This window comes from Homo sapiens, chromosome 18 (genome assembly GCF_000001405.40).
Source record: "Homo sapiens chromosome 18, GRCh38.p14 Primary Assembly".
NCBI classification, from domain to species: Eukaryota; Metazoa; Chordata; class Mammalia; order Primates; family Hominidae; genus Homo; species Homo sapiens.
Genome location: NC_000018.10, coordinates 23,453,005 through 23,474,061, shown reverse-complemented (window position 1 = coordinate 23,474,061; position 21,057 = coordinate 23,453,005). Strand labels below are relative to the sequence as shown.

The following is a 21,057-nucleotide window of genomic DNA, read 5'->3' as shown; positions in this document are numbered from 1 at the left end:
TAGAAAATAAATTGCTTAGAAAATTCAGATACAAGTATAAAAATTAAAACAAAATGTAATTTGATTGGTAAGAACTTACTCCCACAAAATTAACAAATTAAATGCAACAAACATTTTCTGAAACAAAAAAGAAACCATTTTTTTATGCTAAGCCTAATTGGATGCTGGAAGTTTTACTTCGTGATAAAAGCAATTTAAAAATGGCATTTAGATATATGATAAAGTGTCTAAGGCAGAAAATGCCCAGATTTCCCTCAAGCTTCATTGAGGAAAGAAAAAAGAAAATGGCTTTTTCATCCTAAAAGTATGAATCGAGGTTATACACCTGGCCTTTCATTATTTCTATAAATGAATGTAAAAGAAAGCATGGATTTTTTTATCCTAATGCAAAAAGGTATTTACCCAAGATTACGTCTAGCACAATATTTTCTTTACCTTGCGAGATTGTGCATTTCTTTTTCTGCCCACATGCGGATGATCTTACGTGGATTTAGTTTACTGAAGCGATCTTTAAACCTGAAATCATCTTTAATATATTTGTCACGATTCTTAAATTCATTAAGGGTTGTTTTAAATACCTTGATGGCACATTCTGTAGGTATAACTTTACTATCTTCCTTTTCATCCTCCATGCTAAGTGGAAGAAAAAAAATCAAGTCAGTACAAGTTGCCAGCTCACAAGTACAACAATTTCAAAATAAAGATTCTGTAACACTAAATTAGATCTACCTTCTCTCAGTGTCAAGTCTTGTTTTTTTAAGCCTTTAGGTTTTGGATCTTAATAAAGCCTTAGGTTTTGGTTTGATTTTTTAAATAAAATATACTTTCAAATAAATTGTCAACCGATTTTCAACCATCTATCACATAATGTTCTTCACTTAATGACTACGGAATCAAGCTTGAAATACAATGAAGACATATGCACTTGAAAATAGGCTACAGTCTTCCCAATATGGTTCAGGAGCAAAATTCAATAAAAAGCAACAAATAAAACAGCTTTTTAAAAAATAACTCTTTCACTCCTAGCAGACATAAAGGTGAATCAAATGGTTCCTGCCCCACAAGTCTGCAAGAAGTGGCAACGGAGAATAAAAGAAGTACATGAATAGGAAAGGTCCCTCTTCATTGGAAAGGTCAGGCAAGACTTCATGGCACAAGTGCCATCTGAAACAGAAACAGGACAATGGGTAGGATTTGAACAGCATGAACAAAAGCAGAGGCAGGAAACCACAGGACATGTCTGAGGAACAACAAACACTATAGTTAAGACTTGGCTGGAGAGAGATAATGAAAAAAAATTGGAGCTAAAGGACAGGACAGAGGCACATCTGTGAAGAGCCTGGACAAATTCCTAGAGGTGGTGGGGAATCGCGAGGGTTTCTGTGTATGGCACTCTCAAATGCGTGCTTCATGAAGATCGAGTGAACGATACTGTCAGAATGGAAGGGCACAGGGACAGGCTAGAGGTGTGGGGTCGACTCAGGATGCTACTGCAATAGTCCCCCAATAGTGAGCTTCAGTCATGATGGTGGCAGTGGGAATGAAAAAGTGGATGGAATGAGAAACAATATTAATATTTACCTTTAAATATCTGATAGGATGTTAATCTGGGAAAGAAAGGAACTATATTTCCAAAGGACAGAATCTGAATCAAACCTCCTTCTGTACCATATTCTCCCAGCTGACTCCTCTTCCATTTAGTCTCAAAAGGTTAAAGTCCTTCACCTGGTTCTAAGAAACCTTCCTTCTCTTCCTGGGCAATTTCACTTAGCCCCATGGCTCTAAATATCATCTCTATATAGACAACTCCCACATTTCTTTTTTTTTTTGAGACAGAGTCTCACTTTGTCACCCAGGCTGGAGTACAGTGGTGCAATCCTGGCTCACTGCAACCTCCACCTCCCGGGTTCAAGCTATTCTCCTGCCTCAGCCTCTTGAGTAGCTGGGATTACACGTGCATGCCACCACGCCCGGCTAATTTTTGTATTTTTAGTAGAGACGGGGTTTCACCATGTTGGCCAGGCTGGTCTCGAACTCCTGACCTCAGGTGATCCACCCATCTTGGCCTCCAAAAGTGCTGGGATTACAGGCGTGAGCCACCGCGCCTGGCCGATAACTCCCACATTTCTATCCCAGTCCTGACTTTCCCTAGAACTTCAGGCCCATTTATCCAACAACTACATGACATCACTTAGAAGTCTAACAGGCATCTCAAATTTAATATGCCCAAAACAAAACTCATGCTGAGTCCTCACCCTACCCTTCCCCAGGCTCTCACCTCGTCAAACGGTACCACCATCAGCTGCTCTAGCCCAGAATCTATCCTCCTACACCCACTTCCAATCCAACAGCGTGTGCTGTTCTCTCTACCTTCAAAACACACACCAACGCTCTCCTACTCTTCACTTCCACTACCGCCCTCCCTAGTCCAACCCTTCACCATTTCTCACTTCAACTACTACAACGTTTTAACTGATCTTACTGCTTCTTCTCTTCTCCTCCTATAATTCATTTTCCACACAGCAATCTTTTGAAAATAAGAATCAACTCATAGCTTTGGTTCCAGGGCAGTCAAAGAGCAGACTCCTTACCCTGGCCTACAAAATCCTACCTGGTCCAGCCCCTGCTTACTCCTCCAGCCCCCTCTCTCCCATTCACATCCTATGCTCCAGGGAGACTGGGTTTCTTACGCTTCCCTCAAAGATACTAACTTTGTACCTGTCCTAAGGCATTAGCACTAGCTGTTCTCTAGTCCAGAATGCCCATCCACCTGATCTTTGATGTATCTTAGATGTGTCACTCACATGTCACTTCATTGGAGAAGCGTTCCCTGTCCTACTAATAAAGCTAGTCAGCCTGTCACTATGACATCATCCTATTTTAACTATCTGCATAGCATATATCTGATATTTTTTGTTTATTATTGTCATGGAGAGGGGTTGAGGATGGGGGAAGCATATTCCATTAGACCAGAGACCTTCCTTGTACCATTCATTGCTGTATCCCTAGTACCTGGAAGAGTACCTGGTACTTGACAGCTGCTCAACTATTTGGTTAACAGATGACACAATTTTCAGGGAAGAAATCTCTAATAACTTAAAAGACATTATGACAGAATAGGCTAGATTTTGAGATAAGCTCCTTTCATTGGACTAGTTTAACCACATAGTAGGTGAGGCCCTAGCAAAAATGCCATACAAGAGATCCCTTACTTGGAAGGTCTCTAGGATAGAGTCCAATTTATAAGATTTGCCTTGTCATTGTCCTACTACAAAAAGATCCTGTTTCTCAGCAAATGACACATCCCTCTGCCTAGCTTTTAAGGTCCTCCTTACCAATTTCCAGTTTGCTTACACCACTTTACTACCTACTACCTCTAAGCACATACCTTCCTAATCTTCTCAGTGCCTAAACTTCAACTCTCCCACCCTTAGCCTTTTTCTTAAAGAATTAAACATTACAGATGACGCTGAAGTGCCCTCTGATTACCATTCCCCATCTTAACTCACCAGAGGCAATAACTATCATAAATGCTGTATTTCTAGTCTCTTTTAAAAGATAATATATAAGTATCCACAAGCATCTATAAACATCTCTGTAATTTTCTGTATGACTTAAAAAATTTAAATAGATGATATACTGTATATATATTCTGCAACTAGCTTTTTATACTCAACATTGGATTTTTTTTTTTTTTGAGACGGAATCTTGCTCTGTCACCCAGGCTGGAGTGCAGTGGCGCGATCTCAGCTCACTGCAAGCTCCGCTCCCAGGTTCACGCCATTCTCCTGCCTCAGCCTCCCAAGTAGCTGGGAGTACAGATGCCCGCCACCATGCCCGGCTAACTTTTTTGTATTTTTTAGTAGAGACGGAGTTTCACCGTGTTAACCAGGATCGTCTCGATCTCCTGACCTCGTGATCCGCCCCCATCGGTCCTCCAACGGATTTCTTTTTTTAACCTATTTTTAAAATCCAGATTGAGATCCAACTTCATTATGATATCTTCCCTGAATGTGCCTGGCAATGATCTTGTTCTATTCGCTATTCCTATCCCATATAAGGTCTCGTTTGCATAACTGGGTACTCTATTATGTAATTATCTTTCATTGACCATAATGGTTCTTACTGTAATGTTCTCCTTTTAGCTAAAGCTTAAGCTCTTTGAGAGTAAAAAATATGTCTTATATTTTATTCCCTGAGTAATCTAGCACAAATTACTGTTTGAATAATTGTTGATTGCCTGACCAACCTGAGAGTGACAGAAACCAGAGCTTTGACCCAGGCACAGTGGCCCACGCCTGTAATCCCAGCACTTTGGGAGGCTGAGGCAGTTGGATCACAAGGTCAGGAATTTGAGACCAGCCTGGCCAAAATGGTGAAACCCCGTCTCTACTAAAAATACAAAAATTAGCCGGGCATGGTAGTGTGTACCTGTAATCCCCGCTACCGGGGAGGCTGAGGCAGGAGAATCACTTGAACTTGGGAGGTAGAGGATGCAGTGAGCCAAGATTGCGCCATTGCACTCCAGCCTGGGTGACAGAGCAAGACTCCATCTCAAAAAAAAAAAGAAAGAAGGAAAGAAAAAGAAAGAAAGAAAGAAAAAGAGAGAGAGAGAGAGGAGAGAGGAGAGGGAGAGAGAGAGAGAGAGAGGAGAGAGGGGAGAGAGGAGAGAGGGGAGGGAGGGGAGGGAGGGAGGGAGGGAGGGAGAGAGGGGGAGAGAGGGGGAGAGAGAGAGAGAGAGAGAGAGAGAGAGAGAGGAAGAAAGAAAGGAACCAGAGCTTTGTGGAAAGCAAAACTCCCAGCCCCCTTGGTGTGCACACCCCTGTATAATACCTCCTTCCCTTGAGCATGTGTGGGATAGCCACTCCCTGGTTAGGTTATGTGGCAAAGGTGATGGTCTAGTCATTCCCATGATAACATAACACTAAGTCTCAGTCTTAGCAGACTGGAGAGATTCTCCTGCTGGCTTTGAAAGTGTGAGAGCTAGTGTGTGAAGAGGCCTGTGAGACGGCCCCATGGCAAGGAACTGCAGGGGCCTCAAGGAGTTGAGAGCAGCCCACTGCTGACAGCCAACAAGAAAGTGGGACCTCAGTCGTATAGCTGCAACTGAAAGGTGGCCAAGGGAAGAGGACGCCAAGCTCCAGAAAGGAACACAGCCTGGCCAACACCTAGACTGCAGGCTTGTGAAACCCTGAACAGAGAACCTAGTTAAGCCATGCCTGGATTCTGTCAACAGAAACTATGAGATAATAAATGGATGCTGTTTTGGCTGCTAAGTCTGTGGCAATTTATTATGTACCACAGAAAACTAACAAACTTTTAAAAGCATTAACTTTTAGCTGTAGAAAACTGAATGTTCTCTAGTTTTGCTAACTTAGAAATGTCAAAGTACAGATTATGATACCAATTCCACCAGAAAGACTGAACATTTATTATATTAGAGTATATTAAGTATACCAGGCCAGGCGCAGTGGCTCACGCCTGTAATCTTGGCACTTTGGGAGGCCAAGATGGGTGGATCACCTGATGTCAGGAGTTTGAGACCAGCCTGGCTAACATGGTGAAAGCCCATCTCTACTAAAAACACACAAATTAGCCAGGCGTGGTGGTGCGTGCCTGTAATCCCAGCTACTTGGGAGGCTGAGACAGGAGAATCGCTTGAACTCAGGAGATGGAGGTTGCAGTGAGCTGAGATTGCGCCATTGTACTCCACCCTGGGCAACAAGAGCAAAACTCCATCTCCCAAAAAAAAAAAAAAAAAAAAAAAAGGAGTATATTGAGTATAACAGAAAATGGACAAAGGATAAACAAGAGAGAAGACAAGAAAAAGAAATACAAATGGCCAATAAAGCACTTGGAAAAAATGTACAACTTAATCATAATTAAATAAATGCACACCAAAATACCAAGATGTTACTTTTCATCTCTCACACTGACAAAAAGCATTAGATTTGATAATACTAAACACTGATAAAGATGAGGAAGCCCGGAAGCAGTGGCTCACGCCTGTAATCCCAGCACTTTGGGAGGCCAAGGCGAGTGGATCACCTAAGGTCAGGAGTTTGAGGACAGCCTAGCCAACATGGCGAAACCCTGTCTCTACTAAAAATACAAAAATTAGCCAGGCGTGGTGGCATGTGCCTGTAATCCCAGCTACTCTGGAGGCTGGGATAGGAGACCTTGCTTGAACCCGGGAGGCAGAGATTGCAGTGAGCCAAGATCACGCCACTGCACTCCAGCCTGGGGAACAAGAGTGAAACTCCATCTCAAAAAATAATAATAATAATAATAATAATATACGCATTGAAAAAAACTGGAGAAGTCTACCCAAAATTATTAATGATTATCTCTGGGTGGTGGTATTAGGATGACTGTGTTTTTTATACATTCCTATACTGCCTAGACTTTCTACAATAACACTTTAAAAATTACTCTGCTTGCCATGCAGCATTATCTTTGATTCTGTGTAAATTCATTAATCTTGGGGAGAAGAGACTAAGTTTTCATATCATGGTATCATATTTTGCTCATTTACCTCCCTCCATATGCATGAAAGACAACAGACTCCTTTCCTGTACTAATACAGCCAGTGATTGTCTCCAACATTCCAGAGTTGACCATTTTATACATAAGTAAACGTGTCTTAGGATCAACTGCTTTTTCCTGCAAGAGATAAAGCACTGTAAGTGAAAATGACTGCTAATCACAAAATATTTTCTGAGCCACTTCTAATAACTTTTTTTTTTTGAGACGGAGTCTTGCTCTTGTCACCCAGGCTAGAGTACAATGGCACCATCTCTGATCACTGCAACCTCCACCTCCCAGGTTCAAGTGATTCTCCTGCCTCAGCCTCCCGAGTAGCTGGGATTACAGGCGCCCGCCACCACACCTGGCTAATTTTTGTATTTTTACTAGAGATGGGGTTTCACTATGTTGGCCAGGCTGGTCTCGAACTCCTGACCTCATGATCCGCCCGCCTTGGCCTCCCAAAGTGCTGGGATTATAGGTGTGAGCCACCACGCCTGGCCTAATATCTTTTTTTTTTTTAGAGACAGAGAGAGAGACAGGGTCTCACTCTGTTGTCCAGGATGGAATGCAGTGACATGATTATGGCTCACTACAGCTTCAAATTCCTGGGTTCAAGTGATCCTCCCACCTCAGCCTCCTGAGCAGCTGGGACTAAAGGTGCACACCAACATGCCCGGCTAATTTTTTAAAACTTTTGCTGAGACAGGGTCTCCCAGGGTCTCCCTATGTTGCCCAGGCTGGTCTTGAACTCCTGGGCTCAAGCGATCCTTCTACCTTGGCTTCCCAAGGTGCTGGGAGCCACCTCACCTGGCTTATTTACATTTTTTTTTTTTTTTTTTTTTTTAAGGCAGGGTCTCAATCTGTCACCCAGGCTGCAGTACAGTGGCACAATCATGGTTCACTGCAGCCTCAACTTCTTGGGCTCAACCAATCCTCCCACCTCAGCCCCCCGGGTAGCTGGGACCACAGGTGTGTGCCATGATGCCCAGCTAATTTTTTTTGTGAGCTGGGGATCATTATGTTGCCTGGGCTGTTCTTGCACTCCTAGGCTCAAGTAATCCTCCTGTCTCCATCTGCTATCCCAAAGTAGTGGGATTACAGGCGGGCACCACAGTGGCTGGATTTATTTACATCTTTGATTTAAAAAGCCAATCTCATGAAAAAATATCAAACATGAAGTTTTTTTTTCTTTACCCAAAGTTTTCTAATATGAATCTTTCTAGTAAAAAAGAAAAAAAAAAATCTATAAATCCTTACTGCTGTAGAATGCTCCTTTTTCTCATGTAGGCGGGCACTTCGACGTTCTTCTGAGTAGGCATGTTGTTTTAAAGCATTGAAAACATGGTTTGATAGTTTTAAATCCATTCCAATTCCATCTCCTACCTGAAACTCAGGTGCAAACTGCCAAAAGGAAGAATTAGCATCTAAATATTTTAAAATAGGGACAGTTAAAAACAAAAACAAAAACAACCAAATGAGATTAGTCTTTCTTACTCAATAGATGATCACACTAGAAAACCAGAAATCATAGCTACTACAGAGAAAAAAATTAAATAACTCACAGAAAGAGGAGCAATACTATTTAAGAAATTACAACCCAAAGGAAGGCATTTATTCCAGGCATAGAAAACATTTCATCACATCCAAAACTAAGGTCTTTCGGCATGTGCATTGTACCTTGCTTTTAGCCAAAGGACACAATATTGAACTGTGAAGGCTACACCAAATCTTACCAAAGAAATACAATTTTGTAATTATTTGTGGAGAGTGGGTTGTTATAGCAGACTATGTTCACACCATGACAATTATGTTCTAGAACTGTGCAATTCAGTTAGGTAGCCACTAGCCACACTTGGATATTTAAGTTAATTAAAATTAAATTAAAAATTCAGTTCCTCTATTATACCACCCAAATTTCAAGTGCTCAACAGCAAATGTGGCTACCATATTGAACAGCACACATACAGAACATTTCCATTACCACAGAAAGTTCTATTGGACAGAACTCTTCTAGAATTAGATCTGGAATATTTCTAGAAATGATATAATTGAATATGTTTACTTAACAAGCATTTGTGCTTTAAAATCTAAATGTTTAATATATTATATTAACCACAATATTTATGAAGGATTTAGAATGCTTTTTTTTTGTTTGTTTTTTTGAGGCAGAGTTTCACTCTTGTTGCCCAGGCTGGAGTGAAGTGGCACGATCTCGGCTCACTACAACCTCTGCCTCCCAGGTTCAAGCAATTCTCCTGCCTCAGCCTCCCGAGTAACTGGGATTACAGGCATGCGCCACCATGCCTGGCTAATTTTGTATTTTTAGTAGAGATGGGGTTTTTCCATGTTGGTCAGGCTGGTCTTGAACTCCTGACCTCAGGTGATCTGCCCACCTCGGCATCCCAAAATACTGGGATTACAGGCATGAGCCTCCATGCCCGGCCTAGAATGCTATTTTTTAAAGTTACACTTTACTTCTGATTTTACACAGGTAGTTCAGGCACAAGATAATAAATTCAAAATGCACAAAAGAGTATATGGTGAAAAGTATTTCTCCCTCCCATTTGTATTCCCCAATCGCCACCGTTATCTGTTTTTTGGGTAGGGATGCTATTTTATAGAGATATGATGAAGAATAAATGTTAATTTCATAATAACTATTTATTAATTTTAGAATCAATGTGAGTCAAAATAGTTTTTCAACACTGTTATGGAATTTTATTCTGAGGTACTTTATATTTTCATTAATGTCTCAGTTTCCATGATATTGCCATATTGTTATCTAAAAACATCTTTAGAAAGAAAGACATTTTTAGAAATCTAAGGTATTATATTTAGAATCCTGTTTTTGAAAGGTATTCAAACAAAACTCTAAATTCAGAGATAGATACTTTCTGTAACTTACATTTTCCATTCTTGCTGTGTTCTTTCTCCCACATACTACTTCATCATGTTTGGTGGTGATATCTTTTCCTTTTCCAATAAAGCCCTTTTTAGGAGTGGGAACCGGTTTTGCTAAAGGCAATTGAAATAAGCCAGGTATATAAAAATAGCAAAGACTACATTGCTGCATTCAACGTTGTCTGAAAAGACATTTGAATCTAAGAGTAAATTACCAAATGAGATTCAAAGAAAAATATAAAACTAAAAGAGTTCATTGAAAAGATTAGTCTTCCTATACCTCTATTCTGCTGCCCCCAGAAAGTAAAAACTTTGGTACCTGGTCTGTAGGGATCATCACGAGTATCCTGCCAGTCAACCTCATCTTCAGAGCTATCGCTGTCTTCATAAGGATGCACTTTTCGATAATTTTCAAAGGAAATGGAAACTTAAGAAGCAAAAATAGTTGAAGATTTACTTAGGAGCACATTATGAGTGTTTTCTACCACTCAATGAAGTTGTCACAATAAGGTTATAATACCTTTGCTATCTCCATTGAATTTTTTTTCTTCACGCCTAAGCTGTGCATCATATTCTCTGTCATATTCCATCTGTAGCATCTGAGCCAGCATAAGGTCACTGGAAGTATCAATGTTTTCTCCAGTAATAAATGGTCCTTCAGCAACACTATTCAAAATAAGGCAATATAAACTAATGTAATGTGCTTAAGTAAACAGAGGTTGCCAATTATGAGAGTAGGAGGTGCCTTTTCCATGTTAAAATTGAACAATGGGAAAGAACTCTATCAAACCATTTACCTTCTCCTGCACAGCTAGCCTTAAGACCAATGGCATGCACCTGTGGGAGTACCAACTAGGATTAAGAGAACTGGGAGAGAAAGCTAAACTGAGGCCTAGAATTCATTTGTTCTGAATGAAAGTATGAGGCCAGGTGCAGTGGCTCATGCCTGTAATCCCAGCACTTTGGGAGGCTGAGGCTGGCGGATCATCTGAGGTCAGGAGTTCGAGACCAACCTGACCAACATGGAGAAACCCCATCTCTACTAAAAATACAAAATTAGCCGGACGTGGCAGCACATGCCTGTAATCCCAGCTACTCGAGAGGCTGAGGCAGGAGAATCACTTGAACCCGGGAGACGGAGGTTGTGCCGAGCCGAGATTGTGCCATTGCACTCTAGCCTGGGAAACAAGAGCGAAATTCCATCTCCAAAAAAAAAAAAAAAAGAAAGTCTGGATGTTTCATTCATCCATAATGAAAGAATAGATACATATTCATGAAAAGATAAACTACAAACACTTGATCAAAACTGTACCTCATCTAGTTCAACTGCAGCATTAACGCGATATAACTAAAACCCACAGAAACAGTGGTTTGTCCAAGATAATAATGAAAACCAATGCAAAATCAGGACCAAAATTCAAGTATCACTGGACTCTCAATATGGTGCTTTCTTCTGCACTGCTTTTTCCAAACCACTTGTCATGACAATTACTCATCAAATCCTAAAACTCTGCTATAAGTTGCTAGATAAAGTATTTGTGAATTTTACTTACGCAACTTCAGGAAAAACGGCAGCTTCTTCTTCTAACTGCAATTCTTTGGCCAGCTGTTCACTCATTACATCAGCCAAAGAACAAGATATTGTATTTTGAGGAATAGCCCATGGACACTATGAAAAAAGAAAAAAGAACAGCTCAATTCATCATAATGAAATAAAGTACCTCTCATTTTACAAATAATGTTATATTTTGAGAATTAAACTATGTAGTTAAAAACCAGAAATGAATAACTAGCTATTTGCAGAAATCATCTCAAAAGTAAAATTATCTCCCAGGTCAAATTTAGTCAAGGATATATGTAAACTAAAACAGCCAAAAGCACTTTCTAGCCTGCTAAGTAGGTATATCCTTAAAGCTGAGGGGAAGCATCAGGCCCACTGGCATCGCCCCACTAGCCAATGAGTTCATGTAATTCCTCTTATTCCAATCCTTGCTCACCAAGCTACCTTCTGCTTATAATCTGATTTCCCAAGTAGATTTTCTTATAGGAATAGACTATGCCAACTAGCACCATTTGAAGCTTAATGAAAAGTTATATCTCATTCTAATTTAAGCATTGAGTCATCTAAGTGTACAAATTATGTCAGCCCCTCTCAAAACATCTTAGGATATGCTAAAACAAAAACAAGAACAGGCCAGGCGCGGTGGCGCGCGCCTGTAATCCTAGCACTTTGGCAGGCCAAGGCGGGTGGATAACCTGAGGTCAGGAGTTTGAGACCAGCCTGGCCAACATGGTGAAACCCCATCTCTACCAGAAATACAAACAATTAGCGGGCTGTGGTGGTGCATGCCTGTAGTCCCAGCTACTCAGGAGGCTGAGGCAGGAGAATCGCTTGAACCTGGGAGGTTAGGGTTGCAGTGAGTCGAGATCGCGCCACTGCACTCCAGCCTGGGTGACAGAATGAGACCCCCTGCCAAAAAAAAAAAAAAATAGCAAGAACAAACAACACATTTTTTTTTAAATTTTATTTCTTTTTTTTTTTTTGGAGACAGTTTCCTCTGTCACCCAGGCTGGAGTACAGTGGCGTGATCTCGGCTCACTGCAATCTCCACCTCCCCGGGTTCAAGCGATTCTCCTGCCTCAGCCTTCTGAGTAGCTGGGATTATAGGCATAAGCCACCATGCCCAGCTAATTTTTGTATTTTTAGTAGAGATAGGGTTTTGCCAAGTTGTCTAGGCTGGTCTCGAACTCCTAACCTCAGGTGATCTACCCACCTCAGCCTCCCAAAGTGCTGGGATTACAGGTGTGAGCCACCAAGCCTAGCCCCAAAATTTTATTTCTGAACTTTAGAAGCTGAGAAACAGGCTCTTAAAACAATACCAATACACACAGTAATATTCTGTCAGACCCAGTTGACCTTCCTCAGTGACATACTCCTGCCTCAGCCTTCTTGAAATCAAACTGTAGGTTTATTTCAAATTCATAATTTCTGAGGGAGCAAGATGCTTTACTTAGCAGCAGCAAATGATTATATTTTATAGCCTATTGATTAAGACCTTTACTATTTAGTAAGATGCCTAAGCATCTCCTGAACTTGCCCAACTCTTTCCATCCCTCTTCCATAATTCTACTCCAAGGTATCCCATTCGCTGGGTTACTTTCAGAGCATCCTAACGAATCTTTCTGCTCTCAATCTTGGTAGTTTCCATTCTTCACACTGTAACACAGTAATTGTTCTAAAATGCAGATGTGATGGGTTCCATCTCCTTACTCAAAATCTTTTTTATTGTTTCCCATTGCTTTTAGGATAAAGTCCAAAACTCATTCCTTAACTACTACTGAGTGTCTAATTTAGAATATAGCATAAAATGTTATCTGTTTTAGCCACAAAATTATTTGATCAAGTTCAGCCAGTATAGGCCCTCTAGTTGGTCTAAAGGCCTGCTGCATGACACTCAGAGACAACTGGGCAAGTGACCTTTGTTCAGGTTCCACAGTACTGACATTCAGGAATTTACTTAGCTCAGGCTGTTTGGGTGGAGCACCTAAAGGCGACAAATGATAACTATATTTATGCCTGAGTGAATGAGAATCAAGTTTTATCTAGTCTCACCCTGAGATTGAGGAAATACACCTGGTACCTAGCACATACCTACAATACACTATCACAGAACTCTTCCAGCCTTCTGTAAGGCCAGACTTGGGAGAGAAGAAGAGGCTTCCTGAAAGTCTGGTGTGTCTTTCATTCACTCAGAGCTTATCTGTAATTGAGTGGAGAACTCTCCTGGTAAGGATTTTAAGGTCTAGACTCTTGAAGCTTTCTATCATCTGGAGAACATAGCTAATTTTTTGGCCTCATGACTCTCCTGACTTCCTTCTGTATCCTCTAGGTAGAAGATACAATGCTGTTTAGCCTAGAAATGTTTCATCTGATCAGTTTCAAAGTCCAGGTTCCAAAAGGCAGGTGACTGTCTAACTCAGAATTCTCACTCACATTTGGCAATGACTAACAGTTACATAACAGACAATATCTGAATATTCACTATATTTAAGTCACTTGGTTAAATATACATAACTTACATAGATTACTTAAATCACACAACAATTGAGTAGTTGCAATCCATCCCCATTTTATGGATTTTAAAACTGAGGTACACAAAGGCTTTTCTTTTAACCCAAGAAAACATCATAGATGGAAGTACCAAGCTCTGAACCAAGGCAATGCCAGGCTGCACTCTTAGCATTTTGCTATACAGCTTCCCTATCATCTCACCCCGAAATGTGTGAAGCAAACTGCCCTACTGACTGCAATATAAAATCCAAATTCCCCACCCTAGGCAACACAGCAAGATATCATCTCTACAAAAAAATTAAAAAACTAGCTGGGCACAGTGGCAAATGCCTGCAGTCCCAGCTACTCAGGAGGCTGAAGTAGGAGGTGGATCATTTGAGCCCTATGATTGTGCCACTGCACTCCAGCCTGGGTGACAGAGTGAGACCCTGGCTCTAAATAAATAAAATCCAAGTTCCTCAGCAAAGGATGCCCTTTACAACTTGCCCTGATTTATCTTTCCAATCTCAACCCTCATCTATCCTACACTCTAGTAACACTAATTATATGCCAAAGATGGCATACTCAGGCCGTGTGCAGTGGCTCACGCCTGTAATCCCAGCACTTTGAGAGGCCGAGGCAGGCGAATCACCTGAGGTCAGGAGTTCGAGACCAGTCTGGTCAACATGGAGAAACCCCATCTCTACTAAAAATATAAAAATTAGTATTTTTTATACTAATTTACACTACAGGCATGGTGGCAGGTGCCCATAGTTCCAGCTACTCAGAAGGCTGAGGCAGAAGAATCGCTTGAACCCAGGAGGCGGAGGTTGCAGTGAGCCAAGATTGCGCCACTTCACTCCAGCCCGGGTGACAGAGCGAGACTGTCTCAAAACCAAACAAAAAAGATGGCATACTTTCCCCGCTGCATGCCTTCACACATTCCTTTCTCTACCATTGGTTTTTCTTCCTTCTTTATTTACACCAATTAAATGCCATCTCCTCTATAAGGCTGTCTCAATGTTACCAAAGTTGGACCCTTTCCTTTGTGTTCCCATAGCAGTATGCAAACACTGTTAATGCAGAACTCATCACTGTATTAGGGTTCATGCATTAGCCACAATGGAGCATGAACCCCTTGAAGGGTAGAGACTTCTCATCAACCCTCAGAGCCCAGCATAGAGCTTTGGATATAAAGAGGCATTCCAGTATTTCCTGAGCAGTATGTGCCAAAAGAAAACACTGGAGTGATTGGCTGCAGAGGTCTGACGCCTTTCTACATCCCTGCTAATCTAATGTCCTTTTCCCCATCTTGGAAAGTTGCCCTTTTGCCTGCCCGCTTCTGAGGTTTCAACTCCTTTGCCATCTGTCAATTAATTCTGCTAAGGTATTAAAGTATTAGCTGACAATTTGTCAGAAGAGGCAAAAATGACAGGCAGGAATTTTGTTATTTTGAGGCAGAGATTGATCTACTCACAGATACACTGAATCAGAAAGTGAAACAAGTAGAGACCTCAAACAGCACCAAAGCACCCTTGCTGTCCACTCCTACTGACCCTAGACTCTAGAGACTATACTACCCTGTAACAGCTCAACTGGTCCACTTCACACTGAGGCAACTTCCTTGGGTGAGGTAAATAAGTAAAGATTTCAGAAAGGCTGCCACTCCCATACTTTGAAATCAAACCCAAACTCTTCAAGCCAACAATTAAAAGCCCTCCATACACTTTTTCCAGGCTGTGAGACGGACAGCTTCTGGGGTCGGGGGAAGACCCGCTGCGTTTTCCCTATAGGCACAGTGGTTTGCTATCCCAAGTGCTCAGAAAATTTACTGCAGGCTCCTCCTATGAACAGGTACCATAGGTTGTATATAAGGGAATCCTCTGTCATCTGTGACTCTTCAGTAAACCGCTTTTTGTAAAAAATCTAACAAGATGGGGGAAACGCCCTCCATAATCTTGCTCTGTCCTAGCTATCCAAAGTCATTTCCTACTATTCCATTCATCAACACAAACTCCCTATAGTGTCACAATCTGATGGGACACCCCATACAATCCTTTCCAGTCAGCGATTCTACTTCAAAGGACATCCATCAAGCTTTTAACCAGCCTCCTGGTTCTTTCTTTCCTGTTGCTAAATAACCCTAAGACCCACCCTGTTTTCCTCTCCTTTGCAAAACTGCCACCACTGAACTCTGTTCCTTGGGGTTCTTCACTACTACCGCATTCTCCCCCACCTGCCTGGCTGCACATTAGTGGGGAATCATCTCCCTTTCCTTCCACTTCCTAAAGATATGACCTTCGCTGCTTGTATCATTTTTTTTAAAGGTTTCCTGCAGACAATTATGGGTAAAGAATCAAGTAAAATTAAAAACAGCAGCCGGGGGCAGTGGCTCTCGCCTGTAATACTAGCACTTTGGGAGGCTGAGGCAGGCGGATTGCTTGAGCTCAGGAGTTCGACACCAGCCTGGGCAACACAGTGAAACCCCATTTCCACTAAAATACAAAAAAAAAAAAAACAACTAGCCAGGCGTGGTGATGCACACTTGTAGTCTCAGCCACTCTGGAGACTGAAGCACAAGAATTGCTTGAGCCCAGGGGTGGAGGTTGCAGTGAGCCAAGATTGCACCACTGCACTCCAGCCTGGGCGATAGAGTGAGACTCTGTCTCCAAAAAAAAAAAAGAAAACCAGCAAACATGAAAGAGGCACACAGCAACAAAAATTCAGTCCTCTACTGGAAGCGAGTCAAGAGAAACATAACCTACAGGAAGGTCCCCTTTCTAACCATACAGCTAGAAGACATAATCTAAGCAGAATATTTAAGTAAGTAATTTTTCAACTCAAGACAAGTGGCTCTGAAAAAAATAATCTGGGACTACATAACAACACTAATCCATTTTTTAAAATTTTTTTGGTTTTAGAATAGTCTTACTTTTAAAAAACTAGAAAAAAACTGCCAAGACAGTACAGTTCCCAAATACTACACTCGGTAGTTTATCCTATTAATACCTTGCATTAGTATTATACGTTTGTCACAATTCACGAACCAATATTGATACATAATTATTATTAACTAAAGTCCATACTCTACTCTGATTTCCTTAGTTTTTCTCTAACATCCTTTTTCTGTTCCAGGATCCCATTCAAAATACCACGTTACATTTAGTTGCCACGTCTCCTTAAGCTCCTCTTAGGCTGTTGAGTTTCTCAGACTTTCCTTGTTTTTGATAACTTTGACAGTTTTGAGGAGTACCGCTATTTATTTATTTTTTTTACAACTCTCTATCAACAGAGCTACACACTTCCTCACTTTTGCTTACAGTTTGCCAATCCTCTCTTCTTGGAATATCCCCTAAAATTCTTTGTCCATAATAGTAGTTCAGCATTTTGTAACTTGCACCCTGGTACTCTAGGAGAAGGATCCCCAACACCCATTCAGAGGGTCTATGAAGTCAAAATTTTCATAATAGTAATATTACATTATTTGTCTTTTTAACTCTCATTCTCCCAAGAGTGTGGAGTTTTCCAGAGTCTACATCAGATGTGATGACATCATCACTGATGGCCAATGGAATGTGTGCTTGGTATTCTCGTGTTTTCTAAAATTTTCTAAAGAGTAGATTTAAGATATAAATGCATTTTTAGATATTTAACCCAGTTTGTTCTCAGTATTTCTACTACGCTCTTATTACCCACCTTCACTTATATCTGCTACAATCTACTTAGCTGTGAGGATGGATTTTCTTCAAATACTTCAACCTTACAACAGGTTGAATGAAAAAAAGAAGATAGAAGAATCCAGATATCTTCTAATAAGTCAGATGTTAGAGATTTGCAAAAATATAAAATACTGTTCACTAATTTTTGTTTTCAAATATAGTTTTCTTTTGGCCAGGTGTGGTGGTTCACACCTGTAATTCTAGCACTTTGGGAGGCCATGGTGGGAAGACTGCTTGAGGCCACACGTTCCAGACCAGCTGAGCAACACAGTAAGATCTCAACTCTATTTTTTTGTTTGTTTTCTTTTTCCACTTTTCTCACATGTTCTAATCTATTTTTTTAAGTTTTCTTTAGATATAAAAATGTTATTTATGTTAACATATGACTTTTTTTTTTAAAGCCAGCCAAATTTAGCAGCGGGGAGGTTGTATATCAACTTTAGTGACACTAATGTTAATAAGTTCTGATAACCCACTACCATCAGACTAGCATGACTTTTAAATGACTTAAAATTTTTCTATTTCTCAGTTTTAACTTCAGATTGATAAATATCAATTGATATAATCAATGTAAACAAAAGACATTTGGGGTCCTCAATTTTTGAGAGTATAAAGAAGTCCGGGCTGGGCGTGGTGGCTCACGCCTGTAATCCTAACATTTTGAGAGGCCAGGGCGGAAGGGGGTGGGGTACTGCTTGAGCCCAGGAGTTCAAGACCAGCCTAGGCAACATGGTGAAATCCGATCTCTACACAAAAATACAAAAATTGGCTGGGCGCGGTGGCTCACACCTGTAATCCCAGCACTTTGGGAGGCCAAGGTGGGAGGATCACAATGTCAAGAGATCGAGACCATCCTGGCCAACATGGTGAAACCCCATCTCTACTAAAAATATAAAAATTAGCTGGGCATGGTGGCATGCACCTGTAGTCCCAGCTACTTGGGAGGCTGAGGAAGAAGAATTGCTTGAACCCAGGAGGCGGAGGTTGCAGTGAGCTGAGATCATGCCACTGCTCTCCAGCCTGGTGACAGAGCGAGGCTCCGTCTCAAAAAAAACCCAAAAATTAGCTAGGTGTGGTGGCACTGGCCTGTAGTCCAGCTAATCAGGAGGCCGAGGTGGGAGCCTGCAAGGTCAAGGCACAGTGTGAGATGTGATCATGCCACTGCACTCCAGCCTGGGTGACAGAGTGAGACCCTGTCTCAATTAAAAAAGAAAGAGGCCAAGGTGGGCGGATCACGAGGTCAGGAGATCGAGACCATCTTGGCTAACACGGTGAAACCCCGCCTCTACTAAAAATACAAAAAATTAGCCGGGTGTGGTGGTGGGCACCTGTGGTCCCACTACTCGGGAGGCTGAGGCAGGAGAATCGCTTGAACCCAGGAGGCGGAGCTTGCAGTGAGCCGAGATCGCGCCACTGCACTACAGCCTGGGCAACAAAGCGAGACTCCGTCTCAAAAAAAAAAAAGAAAAAGAAAAAAAAAAAAAGAAAGACGTTGGGCATGGTGGCTCACGCCTGTAATCCCAGCAGTGTGGGAGGCCGAGGCGGGTGGACACTTGAGGTCGGAGTTTGAGACCAGCCTGGCCAATACGGTGAAATCCCATCTCTACAAAAAAAAATACGAAAATCAGCTGGGCGTGGTGGCAGGCGCCTGTAATCCCAGCTACTCAGGAGGCTGAGTCACAAGAATTGCCTGAACCCGGAAGGCAGAGGTCGCAGTGAGCTGGGAGCAAACCACTGTACTCCAGCCTGGGCGATAGGGCGAGACTCCGTCTCAAATAAATAAATAAATGAAAAGGAAAGAAAGGAAAGAAAAGAAAGGAAGGAAAGAAAGGAAAGGAAAGGAAGGAAAGGAAGGAAGGAAGGAAGGAAAGAAGTCCTGACTAAAAAGTTTTGAGAATCCTTCCATTTTTCAAAACCCTCCTCAAATCTTCACCTCCTCCATGTAGGCTTCTGTAATCACTTTGGTTTTCCAAAAGGTTAGAGAAAAAAAGGATTAATGATAGTACTTTCAGCCTGTTTCTAATTGTTTTGCCTTTCAAAACACTGTCCTCCCAATAGAGCGTCTATAAATCCCAGAAGCATTTTTGTTGCACAATGAAAATGGAATTTTATAGTTCTGATGATGTACACTTAAATAAAAATATGACTGTTAAATAGTTTATTACTGAATTAGTTTGTAAGTGAAATTTGTTCTGAGATTAGGATGTATTCTGAATAGAGTCTGTCTCATTTGACATTTTTACCAGCCTCTGCCAATGCTTAACTGAAGGACTTTAACATACAGGGTATATATTCATAATACTAGTCTGTCTACTGATTTCATCCTTTTATGTCTGCTAATCTTGACCTTGTAAACAAGGTCTCAAGGAAAAATACACAAAATAACATGCAGACTTAACCACATTTGCCAACGCAGTATCTCAGATTCTTCCAACAGCTGTACGAGAACTTTTACAAAATTAACTTTTGGTTACTTAATAGCTAATTATTGACCCCTTTTCCTGTTAAGGCCTAGCCTGAAGATCTAATAAGACCTTTTAAATGGGAACAAATATTCTGTGTTAGCATGTAAAGAACAACTATGAAGCTAAAAAAGCTAGACTCCTTTACGACCTTAATTTGTGGAACAAAAAATCCCAATGGAAGCACTCTGCTCTCAAGCAGACCCTCCATAAAGTGGCAGAAAAGTGTTTTCATCCATATAATCAAAGTATCATGAAAAGGACCTGCCTGGAAACCAGAAAGCAAATGTGAAATAAAGGTCTTTAGTTTGCCACTCTATGAAAAAGTTTAAACGTCAAAGCTTAGGCAGATAATGAAATTCATAAGCACTTTACAGTCCGTGGTGCGCACTTGAATTTCAGCGTCGAGGGAGGAGGGTGCGCCTGGGTTTTATCTTTTACTGCTTCAAAAACAAGACATTTCCAAACTGGGATAACCACACTTATCAAATTAAGTAAACAGCTTCCTAAACCAACTTTCTGTCTGGCTAGCTGTGTATTCGGCTGACTCACTTGGCCAGTGAAAAACAAGATCGTGCTTGTTTCCCCTCCAGTATCATCAGGGTGTGTAAGCCAGTCCTGCTCAAATACATGCTACGGTGATACAGAAAGTACGCTGAAGAAATAGAGAGCCCTAACCACTCAAGGTGGCCTTTGGGAGATCCAGCCGCCCTCCGCCCCTCTTTCCGCTCCCTCCATCCCCATCCCGGCACCCCCGCGGCCAGTGCCCCCTTGCCGAGGTCCGCGGGGTCCCGCCCCAGAACTTCCCGAATCGCCCACGAAGCCGCCCTCTCCGAGCTTTCCGAGAGATCCAGCCCGTGTGACCAAGGCTAGTACTCCAGTCTCGTCTGCCACTTACCTTGCTGGGTCCCCAGGCCGCTGCCGTCCCGGGCTCAGGCGATGCCACTCCTACCAGATCCATTCGGGAATGAAGGCAGAGACAAGAACAGAGCAGAGAGGTGGCAGGACGGGCAGCAGGCTCCGCCGAGGAGACAGGCGGGACACGGGCGACTGGCTGCTGATGCCGGAGTGGAGGTGACAGATGGCGGCGACGGCGGCGGCCGCGTCCGGAACTGGATCTCTCCTCTTCCGCCCTCTTCGCTAGGACAGTCGCTTGCAATTGGCCGCACGCCCCTAGCTCCTCCTTAAGGCACCTTTCCCCGCCCCCGGGCGGGCTACTTCCGGCTGCTGACCGCCGGGCTCGGAGAAGCAAGCATCAGCTGGCTGTCGCTTGGGGTCACGTTGCCTGTGTCGGGCAGGGCAGGGCAAGAACTGGGTGTGGCTTCCTTTGGCCCAGGCTCTGCCCTGTCCCCGCACTGCCATCTCCTTCTTTCCTCCTTGGCACCCCAAAAATTGC

At 42.1% G+C, this 21,057-nt stretch overlaps 1 protein-coding gene across 6 annotated transcripts in view, besides 3 other annotated features; it reads right to left on the bottom strand.

Moving 5' to 3' along the window:
• RIOK3 (RIO kinase 3) overlaps positions 1-20,775 on the bottom strand; it is a 29,854-nt gene extending 9,079 nt beyond the window's left edge. For 2 of the 6 annotated variants that reach the window (NR_145477.2, NM_003831.5), the window contains exons 1-8: positions 20,560-20,775; positions 10,983-11,098; positions 9,950-10,095; positions 9,749-9,856; positions 9,434-9,543; positions 7,786-7,929; positions 6,536-6,663; positions 436-633 (exon numbers count right to left, since the gene is read on the bottom strand). Coding sequence is in view for 5 of the 6 variants with exons in the window: in NM_003831.5 (NP_003822.2) it covers positions 436-633; positions 6,536-6,663; positions 7,786-7,929; positions 9,434-9,543; positions 9,749-9,856; positions 9,950-10,095; positions 10,983-11,098; positions 20,560-20,622 (1,013 nt within the window). In the remaining variant the exon portion in view is untranslated. Of the gene's footprint in view, positions 1-435; positions 634-6,535; positions 6,664-7,785; positions 7,930-9,433; positions 9,544-9,748; positions 9,857-9,949; positions 10,096-10,982; positions 11,099-20,559 lie in introns of those variants that run through there. The other 4 variants (NM_001348193.2, XM_047437912.1, XM_011526243.2 and 1 more) reach the window with 4 other exon arrangements.
• Positions 20,476-20,976: an enhancer, noted in NCBI's record as "H3K27ac hESC enhancer chr18:21033050-21033550 (GRCh37/hg19 assembly coordinates)". NCBI's record gives its function as "activates a minimal SCP1, AML or CMV promoter by ChIP-STARR-seq in naive H9 embryonic stem cells {active_cell/tissue: H9 hESC(naive)}" and the evidence as "EXISTENCE:reporter gene assay evidence [ECO:0000049][PMID:30033119]".
• Positions 20,476-21,057: a biological region, named in NCBI's record as "H3K27ac hESC enhancer GRCh37_chr18:21033050-21033550".
• Positions 20,618-21,057: an enhancer, noted in NCBI's record as "active region_13156". NCBI's record gives its function as "activates an Ori minimal core promoter by ATAC-STARR-seq in GM12878 lymphoblastoid cells {active_cell/tissue: GM12878}" and the evidence as "EXISTENCE:reporter gene assay evidence [ECO:0000049][PMID:35858748]".